General features: G+C 42.5%; 1 protein-coding gene and 1 pseudogene across 7 annotated transcripts in view; both read right to left on the minus strand.

Annotated features, from left to right (window-relative positions):
• PLEKHM3 (pleckstrin homology domain containing M3) overlaps window positions 1–6,187 on the minus strand; it is a 204,240-nt gene extending 198,053 nt beyond the window's left edge. For 5 of the 7 annotated variants that reach the window (XM_017004073.2, XM_005246545.4, NM_001080475.3 and 2 more), the window contains exon 1: window positions 6,049–6,187. The gene's annotated coding sequence lies outside the window, so the exon portion shown is untranslated. Of the gene's footprint in view, window positions 1–1,128; window positions 1,349–6,048 lie in introns of all 7 variants that reach the window. The other 2 variants (XM_011511160.3, XM_047444266.1) reach the window with 1 other exon arrangement.
• RNU6-360P (RNA, U6 small nuclear 360, pseudogene) lies at window positions 298–401 on the minus strand (annotated as a pseudogene).

The following is an 11,950-nucleotide window of genomic DNA, read 5'->3' on the forward strand; positions in this document are numbered from 1 at the left end:
TCTCACCTATCCTGTTTCCTCTGCCTGGAACACTGTTTTCCACCACCATCACCCTCATCTTCTTTATCAACACTGTCCCCTCCTTACCTCCCACCCACACACACAACCTGGCTAAGTCTAATTCAGCTGTCCAGTCCTTGACGAGGAATCACATCTCTCTTGACCTCCAGGTCCATTTTGAATGGCCTCTTATATGCTCCCATAGCACCCAGATTTCCTCCATTATTATGCATCTCAAGCTATTTTTTTAACTTTATAATTTTTTACCATTTGTATAAACCATATACATCTTAACATTATCTGAAAGAGCTCTTCACAAATTTGCATGTCATCCCTGCACAGAAGCCATGCTAATCTCTGTGTTGTTCCAGTTTTAATGTATGTGCTGCCAAAGTGAGCACGCAAGTTATTTTCAAATGGCCTGTTTACTGTCTGTCTCCCTCACTAGACTGTAAGCTTCATGAAGGCATGGACTGTGCCTGTCTTGTTCATTCCTAGCTCCAAGTACTGTGCCATGGCACAAAACAAGTGCTCAATCCTTACTTGCTGAATTAACAAATTAATGAATCCCTGAACGTGGAAGAGAAGTTGTTCTGGAAATGTTATAGTGCAGGTAAAAGTGGATCAAGAGCATGTAGGAGGAGATCATTCAGCTAATTTCCTGGAGCAAAAAATCTGCTAGTTATATTTCTGATGTTTCTAACCTGCAACACATGTTTTTTGTTCTGTGACTGAAAAATCAACATTTATATAATCACACCTACAGAACACAAGGTGAAGTGGATATTTAACAATTTCCCAGTTACGTAAGTATTCACAGGTAAACTGGCTAATGCGAGACAGAAGAGCTTTAGTTTGTACTGAATTATAAACTGGTTACACTAGTCAGGAGAACTGGATAAGTAAATCTCTACCATGGTCATAAATGTGGCATATAATTGAAGGATTCTATTTGAACCACATAACTCAGATTAACAATTAATGAGTGTACGAAAACAAACAAAATGTTAATGAAAACAGCATGCCTGACATCTTAATGCAATTGCCTCCATATTTTGACTTTGGTTTTTGCTCATAACTCATACTGTCATCAAGATTAATTACTTATGGAACAAATAAAACTTTTACCTTGTCAGCAGGAAGGCAAATTATGCATGTTTTTCAATGTCTGGTATGATCCCACAGTAGCCAATGAAACAGAGCAAACATAATGCATGGAATTTATTGCTGGTGGTCATTTTTATCACGCTCTCACTCAGCACTGAGTTCTCTGAATTAATTGGCTTGCATCAGAAACTCCAAGCTAGGATGTAGTTCAGTTCCTTATGAACCAAATGCCAAATGTACTCTGAAAGGAGAACGCAAGAAGAAAAAAAAACTCCTTGCTAGATATCCCTCCAGACTTTTTATTTTAAGGGGTTAACATTTGCTGAAGCAAATCAGCCTTTGGCCAGCAACCAATGGGGCCACAGACACTCTCTGTACTTTTCTAGGGGTGTTGGAGGAGAGGGTGAGGTGAAATAGGATAGGGTGACAATGGGAAAATAAAAGTAACAGCAGCAGTAGCTTGATGCTGCTGGAAACTGACTAGAGATAAAGAATCCTAAAAAAACTGCCCAGTCTAACCTTCTCCAAGTTCCCATTAAAGTCAGGCCTTTTGAAACTAGTAATTAAATTAGCACCTGTCTATCTGCCTACTTTTTAAATATGTAAATGAATGACTTCAAGTCTTAAGCAAAGGCTATATACAAGATTAAACTGTAATAGAGTATGTCAAGTATCTCATAAATATTCAGTAAATATCAGCCTTGGATGTTTTTTAATGAAGATGTTACTGGGCTAGAACCAGCTTGGTTTTCCTAATCAGGCACCATTTTTTTCTGTAAATGGTTACATATTCTTCACAGTTGTTTTCCACTAGTATAATTAACCTGGGTCCATAGCCCAAAACCTAAATCCATCAATCTATGAGAAAACAAATACTTTTAATGAACATTCAGCCATGTGCCTCCTTTTTCTATTACTTCTATATGACATTCAGCGATCCTTCTACCATGAAGCTTTCACTTATTACCCTACTGAGAAATAAGTTTCCAACTTTATTTTCAATCTTTTCAATTATAATTTGTTTTCTATATCTTGTTTTCTTTAAAAAATCACTTTCTGCCACATAATTACATTATTTATGGATTTTATTATCTCCAGTATTTGACTGTACAATGTTTTATAGTCATTGTATTCCCCACAATGTAGAGACTTAACAGCTTTTAAAATAATGTTTATTGACTTTTGTGATTATAAATAAGTACTACATGTTCATTGCTTGTCATTTTGAAAATACGAAAGAGAATAAAAGGCAAAATAAACAATGCCTATTCACCCTCCACTGGAAAAAAGCACTGCCCCGTTGTGGCCCTTTCAGCCCTTATGTAGATTTTGTTTTTTTAAACATAGTTCAGAGCTTACTATAGATACGCATTTTTCCCCACCTAGCAATCATTGGTAACACCTTTCCACACTGCTAAACTTCTTCATTAAAAAATCCTTTTTAGTGTCTATATAACACTGTATCTATTGATGACACCATAATTTGTTCCCATTTTGGGGCATTTAGGTTATTACATATGTTTTTTCCTAAATAAAGTTATATTGAGCATCTTTGAACATTAACTTTTAAAATATTTCTGATAAATTCCTTTGGATGGACCCTAGAAGTGGAATTAACTGGGTCAAAAGGTAGGAGCATCATTGAGGCTTTTCATACATTCACCAATGAGCTGTTCGGAAAGGTTACAGCAAGTGTGCATCCCTCCTAGCATTTGCAAGTGTCTGCTGCACTGCACACTAACTGTTGAGGAGGATTTTTGAAAATTTATGTTAATTTGAGATTTGGAAAAAATGATACTTTGCTATTGTTTCAATTTTTCTTTCTGTATTAGTTTTCTATGGTTGCATAACAAATTTCTACAAACTTAAGTAGCTTAAAACAACACCTATTCATTTTCTCACAGTTCTGAAGGTCAGAAGACTGGATGGGCTTGGCTGGGTTTTCTGCTCAGAGTCTCTCACACAAGGCTGAAACCAAGGTGGTGGCCAGGCTGGGCTCTTATCTATTAATAGAAACTCAGGTAAAGAATCCAGTTATAAGCTTATTGGGATTGTTGACAGAATCTAGTTCCTTGTGGCTTATGTCAGAGGTCCCCATTTCTTTCTATGCTGGTTGTTAGCTGGGGCCACCCTCAGCAACTCTAGGCCTCCAGCACTCCTCAAGGCTGCCCAAATTCCTTCTCAACAGTTCCTCTCCACCTTCGAAGCCGCAACACAGTATGTTGAGTCCTTCCCCTACTTTAAGTCTCTCCAATTTCCCAGACAGAGAAAGCTCCCAACTTGTATGGGCTCCTGTGATTAGATTAGACCCACCCAGAAAATCTCACCATTTTAAATTAAACTGTGCCACATAACATAATTGAGAAAGTGATATCTTATTATATGCACAGGTTTCACAGATTACAGACAGCAATTTTAGTAGAGAGACATTTTTAGAATTTTGCCTGCCACAGTCTTAGGTGTTGTTTCTTATCATTTGTTTGTGTTCTTTATAATTAAACCTCAATTACACAAATCTACTAAAAAAATGAATCTTACTGTTGACTGCCAGAAGCTGTATTTCCATAATGGCAAAGGCAACTAACTATGAATGGGGCTGCAGCATGCTAATAAAATTTTGAAAACATAACTTTGCTAACACTGGTATTTAAAAGTTTTAAATTGTGGTAAAATATATATAATATGAAATTTACCATATTAACCTTTTTTTTTTTTATGACATGGTCTTGCTCTGTTGCCCAGGCTGGTGTGCGTGGCGTAATCATACCTCACTTAACTTCCAACTCTTGGGTTCAAGCAATGCCCCCGCCTCAGCCTCCCAAAGCACTGGAATTACAGGCCTGAGCCATCATATCCAGCCCCATCTTAACTATTTTTAAGTGTACAGTTCAGTATTGTTAAGTACATTCACATTGTTGTGCAGCCAATCTCCAGAACTCTTTTCATTTTGCAAAACTGAAACTCTATACCCATTAAACCAGGAGTCCCCAACCCCCATGTCTGTAGACTAGTACGGGTCCATGGCCTGTTAGGAACTGGGCCACACAACAGTGAGCGATGGACCAGCCACGCATTGCTGTTTGAGCTCCGCCTCCTGTCAGATCGGCAGCAGCATTAGATTCTCATAGGAGCGCAAACCTTATTGTGAACTGTGCGTGCGAGGGATCTAGGTTGCACGCTCCTTATGAGAATCTAACTAATGCCTAATGATCTGAGGTGGAACAGTTTCATCCCGTAACTATCACCCCCCTACTCCCCGACCCCACACCACCCGCTCTGTGGAAAAATGGTCTTCCGGTCCCTGGTGCCAAAAACCACCAGGGGACCGCAGCATTAAACAACAAATCCCCATTGCCTGCCTCCCTCCAGGCCCTGGTAATCACCATTCCACTTTCAACACTGGCATATTTTTATTTTATATATTTATTAACAAACATGTATATAGCAATTACTATATGCCAGGTACGGTTCTAAGCCTTGAGCTCAGGAGTTCAAGACCAGCCTGGGCAACATGGCGAAACCCTGTCTCTACCAAATGTACAAAAATTAGCCAGGCGTGGTGGCTTGTGCCTATGGTTCCAGCCACAAGGGAGGCTGAGGTGGAAGGATCGCTTGAGTCCAGGAAGTCGAGACTGCAGTGAGCCATGATCACGCCACTGTACTCCAGCCCGAATGACAGAGTAAGACCCTGTCTCAAAATAAAATAAAATAAAATAAAATAAAATAAAATAAAATAACAATAATAAAAACCCTAATGAGGTCAATACTATTATTATTCCCATTCTACAGATTAGGAAACAGAAGCGCTAAGTAAACTGCCCAAGATTACACAACTAGGAAGTGACCAAGCAGGAATTCAAACTGAAGTAGTCTGGCTTTATAGTTTTTGCTATAAACCATGACATTGTAAAAATATTCATTGTAAAGAAAAACTCATCAGGAATTAGTATCATTTCTTCTATGTATATCTATCTATTGTAGGTGCAATTTAACCTAATATTCATCTCCTGTCTAAAAGACTATGTGACCAAGGTTACAAATGTCTACTGATATTTTTAGAGACTAGATATATAGCCCAGCTTTTGTTAAGGCATTTTCTTGAAGTCAGTCAGTCAAAAACTGCCTTGTATTTTAAGTATGCCAATTATAATTTACATGTAGTATTTTATAATAAAATACTTTATAAATACAAATCACAACTCACTACGATTACTTAAAATATAGAGAAAAAAATTCAGCTGTTTCTCTCTGGTCCCTTCCAAGGAAGAAAAAAGAAGAGAGAAATAAACTTCTAAATAAGTTTACAACAGCATGGCTCAATCTCAGTTTAACCTGGTAAATTCAAATTTGTCTTGCTTTGCAAGGTATACATCCAGACCAGTCTCAATTTGTCATCCAAATATATATCTCAGTAGTAATTTATTTTTGTTTAAGGGATGAGTGTGAGATTTTCTTATCTTGATTTTTTAGCTTAATAATTCTTTCCTACAAGACCAAACCATGCTTGTCATCAGTCATGTGGTGTCATTTACTATACATTAAAAACGGACAGAGTCGACAGAAAGAACAATCGTTTTCTGGAAGCCCCAGCCTGATGTAGGTTAAAAGCTCTGCTGGGGTTTGGTTTTATAATCCCCAGGCGGGGATGGCAGGGATACTAATAACGCACTCAACAAGATCACCTACTATTTCAACTACTTTCTCCTCCTATTACATACCTGATTCACAAAAATAAGCAGACAATGCATCATGTAATCTCCCCTCACCCATTAGCCATTGCAGTGTGGTACAATCTCCAGCACGTAATAAAAACCTGAGCATGCAAGAAACAGCAAAATCACTGCTATCCCTGGGAGCTGCTCGGATATTTACAATGCAGTCGTCCCCACCCCATCCCCCAAACTGGCCGGCCAGGCAGCACAGAAGCAGACGGATGCTCACCTGGGCCCCGGCTGCTACTCTCCATTCACCTGCGGGGCCTTCAGTCCGCTCCTGGAGGGGCTTGACTCCCGCAGCCTGCCGCCCGCCTCACGGTGACAGCCCGCCCGGGCGCTGACCATCCCGGCCCGGCTCTGTTTACAAGCGGCTTCTCGCGGTCCCACTCTGAAATGCTTCCGCCGGCGGCCCGGGCAGCCAGAGCCGGACACACAAGGTTCCAGGCCGCGAGGACGAGTCTTTCCTGCCCGAGGGACCCGGCAGCTAGGCAAGGCCTGACCGCACCCGCCAGGCCTCCTTATTTCTTTGCTTTCTTATATACAGTTCCTCTTGTACACATTGTGAAAGCAATGGCGTGTGTCGTGGAGTCTCCTCACTGCTCCACCCAACGCCAAAATGGGTGTTTGCGATTGGAAAATGTCACTTAGAACATGTCAGGATCGGGCTGGTTTTTAGCAGCTCCCTTGTCTAAGGGAATTAATTACTCAAATAAGTTCTTTCCAAAAGTGGGACTATTCTGGAGATTGCTTCTCATTTCCGGTTTTGGGGCTGCAGTGAAAATCCGTTTTCACTGTCCTTTCCTACGCAGGTTGAAAAGGGGTGGTTTTGAGGTGAGGTCTTCACCCCCACTTGCGGATTCCCAGCAAAATAGGGTGTGCGTGTGTGTGCACGCGGGCAGGACTGCCTGGTAAGACCGCCCACATCCCACCTGCAGTGACTGTGGTCGCTTTGCAGGGATATGCTGGTCTGATTGGACAGACCTTCCTTGCAGTTTCCTGTCTGTTTTCCATCATAGCACACTTCTTAGCCATTTTCTCACTTTATAAGTACACACTTATTTATCAGTTTTATTGGTTTTCCCACGCTCACCCATCTCACCTATAAACTCCCTGAGGGCAGGCACTATTTCAGTTTCACTCACCACCATCTAGTAGGCACCTAGCACAGGCCCAATGTATATATATCTGAATAAATGAATGAACAAAGGAATGATAAAAAAAAAAAAAGGTCAAAGGGGTCAGGGATGAAACAGAAATCTAAAACTCTGATTCCTCTTCCCACCTTCCCACCCTCCAGAAGATTAATAAGCAAATCTTTAAGCTTTGAGTTAAGAAAAAATTTCCTTTGGTTGATATTCAAAGTTTAAATAAGCTTTCTTTAAACCCTGCAATTTGAGGTACTTTTTTTTCTGTTTTGCTAGAGACAGGATCTCACTCTGTGCCCCGGCCAGAGTGCAGTCGCACGATCATAGCTCACTGCAGCCCTGAACTCCTGGGTTCAAGGGATCCCCCCAACTCAGCCTCCTGAGTAGCTAGGACTACAGGCACGCATCACCACAACGTGGCTAACTTCTTTTTTCTTTCTTTCTCTTTTTTTTTTTTTTGTAAAGGCAAGGTCTCCCTGTGTTGCCCAGGATGATCCTGAACTCCTGGCCTCAGGCAATCCTTCTTCCTTGCCTTCCAAAGTGCTGGGATTACAGGTGTGAGCCACCTCACCTGGCCAGAGGTACATTTTTTGTTTTGTTTTGTTTTAATTACCAAAAGAGAATATTTGCAGTATTCTCTTTTGCCTCAGGACTTTGTACATGTGATTCCCTCTGATGAGAGTTCTCACTCCTGGCCCATCCTCTTACTTAGGCTGGCTAATTTCTCTTTGCTCTTTAAGAAGCAGGTAACAGGTGCTTGGTCTCTCAAGTCACTTGCTTGGTCTTCTTCCAAGTGTTCTTTTCTTCTTTTCCTTCCCTTCATTACTACTCTAAAGCTTTTTAATAAACTTTCACTCTAAAAAAAAAAAAAAAAAAGGCCGGGTGTGGTAGCTCGTGCCTGTAATCCACGCACTTAGGGAGGCCAAGGCGGGTGGATCGCTGGAGGCCAGCGGTTCGAGACCAGACTGACCAACATGATAAAACCTCATCTCTACTAAAAATACAAAAATTAGCAGAGCATGGCGGTGCACGCCTGTAATCCCAGCACTTTGGGAGGTCGAGGCGGGTGGATTGATTGAGGCCAGCAGTTCGAGACCAGCCTGGGCAACATAGTGAAACCCTGTCTCTACTAAAACGAAAATTAGCCAGGCATGGTGGCACACGACCTGTAATCCCAGCTACTTAGGAGGCTGAGGCACTAGAATCGTTTGGACTCAGGAGACGCAGGTTGCAGTGAGCTGATATTGAGCCAGTGCACTCCAGCCTGTGCAAAAGAGCGAGACGCTGTCTCAAAAAAAAAAAAAAAGCAGATGACATCACACCTCTTCTGGAAACCTTGCCTGATAGGGGAACCTGCTCCTTTTATGCACTCCTAGAGGATCTCATGTGTTCCTTTATAAATGTACCCATTACATTGTGCTACACAGATCAGTCTTCCATTGGATTGGTGGTTCTCAAAATTCACATGGAACAGAATCTTCTAGGATGGTGTTTCTCAAACTTTAACGGGTAAGAATTCTGTCAAAATGCAGAATCTGATACAGTAAGTCTGGGATGGGGCCTCTCCAACAGTCATGATCTCCTAAGTGATGCTGCATTTTGAGTGTCAAGGTTCTTGAATGCTGTTAAAAATGCAGATTCCTAGGCCGGGTGTGGTGGCTCATGCCTGTAATCCCAGTACTTTGGGAGGCTGAGGCGGCCGGATCACCTGAGGTCAGGAGTTTGAGACCAGCCTGGCCAACATGGCGAAACACTGTCTCTACGAAAAATACAAAAAATTACCCGGATGTGGTGGCTGGTGCCTGTAGTCCAAGCTACTTGGGAGGCTGAGGCAGGAGAATTGCTTGAACCCAGGAGGCAAAGGTTGCAGTGAGCCGAGATCATGCCATTGCACTCCAGCCTGGGCGACAGAGTGAGACTCCATCTCAAAAAAAAAAACAAAAACAAAAACAAAAAACAAAAAAACCCCCGCAGATTCCTGGATCACACATTCACAGATTTTTATTCTGAAGATCTACCTACATTAGGGTCCTGAATTCCATAATTTCTACAAGGTCCTCAGTGCTTCCCAAGTTGGTGATCCATGGACCATCCTTTGAGAAAAACTCTTTCAGACTAGTCTTGAAGTCTGATGTCAGGAGTTTGTGATTTGTCATTGTTTTTCATGGATTAAGCATGAAGTCTGGGACATAAAATGCATTTAAAAAACTGCTTTTGGCCTGGCACAGTGGCTTACGCCTGAAATTCCAGCACTTTGGGAGGCCAAGGCAGGCGGATCCCTTGAGGACAGGAGTTCAAGACCAGCCTGGCCAACATGACAAAACTCTGTCTCTACTAAAAAATACAAAAATTAGCCGGGTGTCATGGCACACATCTGTAATCCCAGCTACTCGGAGGCTGAGGCAGAGAATCACTTGAACCTGGGAGGCGGAGGCTGCAGTGAGCTGAGATCATGCCACTGCACTCCAGCCTGGGAGATAGAGCAAGACTCCATCTCAAAAAAAAAAAAAAAACAAAAAAAGCTGTGTTTGCAAAATGACTGATTTTATTCACTCTCACTAATACAGATCCTCAGCACCAGAATTAAGGGGATGATCCCAGAAAAAGGCTGAAAGATTTAGGGCTGAGAATAATCTCAGCTAGGCAGCCACTGGCTCATGGACCTCTGTATGTCAGCTAGGAGCTCTATATGTCAGCTAGGCCTCTGTATGTCAGCTAGGAACATTTTGCCTCTCTAAATGTAAAATATTTAAGTTCATATCTCCATTCAAAAGGTTGTCTGCTAAAAGCAGCTCCATCATCTTCTTTTGCCTTTTTTTTCTTTTTTTGAGATGGAGTCTGGCTCTGTTGCCCAGGCTGGAGTACAGTGGCGCAATCTCGGCTCACTGCAACCTCCGCCTCCTGGGTTCAAGTGATTCTCCTGCCTCAGCCTCCTGAGTAGCTGGGACTACAAGCATTTGCCACCACACCCAGCTAATTTTTGTATTTTTAGTAGAGACGGGGTTTCACTATGTTGGCCAGGATGGTCTCCATCTCTTGACCTTGTGATCTGCCCGCCTTGGTCTCCCATAGTGCTGGAATTACAGGCGTGAGCCACCGCACCCGGCCTTCTTTTGTCTTTTAGAGCAATTTTGGATTCACAGGAAAATTGAGCAGAAAGTACAGACTTCCCATATATCCCCTGCTCCTCAAACCCACAACCTCTCCCACTATCAATCCTGCACCACAGTGGTACACTTATTACAATCAATGAAACTGCACTGACAGACACATCATTACCACCCATGTAATGTAAAGTTCATAGTTTACATTAGGGGAACCATTTTTTTGACTTCTTTATACCCTAACATTCAGGAAGGCCTCTCTTTCCATTATCGGAATGATTTTTAACACAGAATGGAGCGTCATGCTGTAGCTCAGTAATTAAGGTTTGCTGGGGGCAGTGGCTCACACCTGTAATCCCAACACTTTGGGAGACCAAGGCAGGAGGATCACTTGAGCCCAGGAATTAGAGACCAGCCTGAGCAACATAGCGAGACTCCATCTCTACAAAAAATAACAAATTAAAAAATTAGCCAGGTGTGGTGGCACAAGATTCCAGCTACTCAGGAGGCTGATGCAGGAGGATCACTTGAGCCCAGGAGTTGGACACTGCAGTGAGCTATGATCATACCACTGCACTCCAGCCTGAGCAACAGATTGAGATCTTGTCAAACAAACAAAACAAACAAACAAAAAACCCTAAAACTAGAATGAAACAAAACCTAGAAGACGATCTAGTCCAATTGTTAATCCCCAGCTGCTTTCTTACTCCAGCCTGAGCAACAGAGTGAGATCCTGTCTTAAAAAACAAAAACAAAAAAACACCCAAAACTAGAATGAAATGAAACCTAGAAGATTATCTAGTCCAATTATTAATCCACAGCCACTTTCTTACTCCAATACTTTTTTGTTTGTTTGTTTTTTTAGACGGAGTCTAGCCCTGTTGCCCAGGCTAGAGTGCATTCAGTGGCGTGATCTCAGCTCACTGCAACCTCTGCCTCCTGGGTTCAAGCTATTCTCCTGCTTCAGCTTCCCGAGTAGCTGGGATTACAGGCGCCTGCCACCATGCCCAGCTAATTTTTTGTATTTTTAGTAGAGACAGGGTTTCACCGTGTTGGCCAGGCTGGTCTCGAACTCCTGACCTCATGATCTGCCCCCCACTCTGCTTCCCAAAGTGCTGGGATTACAAGCGTGAGCCACCACGCCCGGCCTCCAATACTTTTAACGGCCTCCTATTGCCAGAAGGAGTTCAGACTTCATGGCTTGACCTTGAGGCTCTCTACATTATTGGCTCCCTCCTACATGTGGGGACATCTCTGTTTTTCTGCACTCAGCATTCCTACTTCCTTTGGGAACTTCCCCTACCTGTAAGACACAGGGTAAGTATGTGATCAATGCTAAGCCAGTTCTACTATTCACAGTACCCTAGTCTCTTGGCTATAGCAGTTGAGCCAGGGTGGGCATGTGACCCACCCAATCAGAGTCCTTCCCTGGAATTTTTATCTCTGAAGCTGTGGAAGGAGCCTTGCCTATTGGGATACAGGACTGGAAGGATGTGAATTGGAGGCCCCTGATGGCCATCTTTCCCACCATGTGAGAATGCCTGTCTGCAGAACAAGGGAAGGAGGGTGACAGGAGAGAGGAGAGTAACACCAAGGGAGGGATGAAGATTTTGTGTGAGGGGAGTTGGAAGGTGTGGTGGGAGAGTAAGAGCAAATGACCTTGCTTGAGTCCCAGGATCTCCTCAGGCTTGGAGCTTAACCTCACCTCCTAGACCCTATAGTTCTATTATCAATTAATCCCATGTTATCTCAAGGGAGTTTGTGTTGGTTTCTGACATTTACAACTGCAAGTGTCTTGACTGACACTTCACCTTTCCAGACTTATCTCCCACATACCCCTTTCTTCCCATTTTATAGTTCAGACACCTATTTTTTCCCA

This window comes from Homo sapiens, chromosome 2, assembly GCF_000001405.40.
Source record: "Homo sapiens chromosome 2, GRCh38.p14 Primary Assembly".
Lineage (NCBI taxonomy): Eukaryota > Metazoa > Chordata > Mammalia > Primates > Hominidae > Homo > Homo sapiens.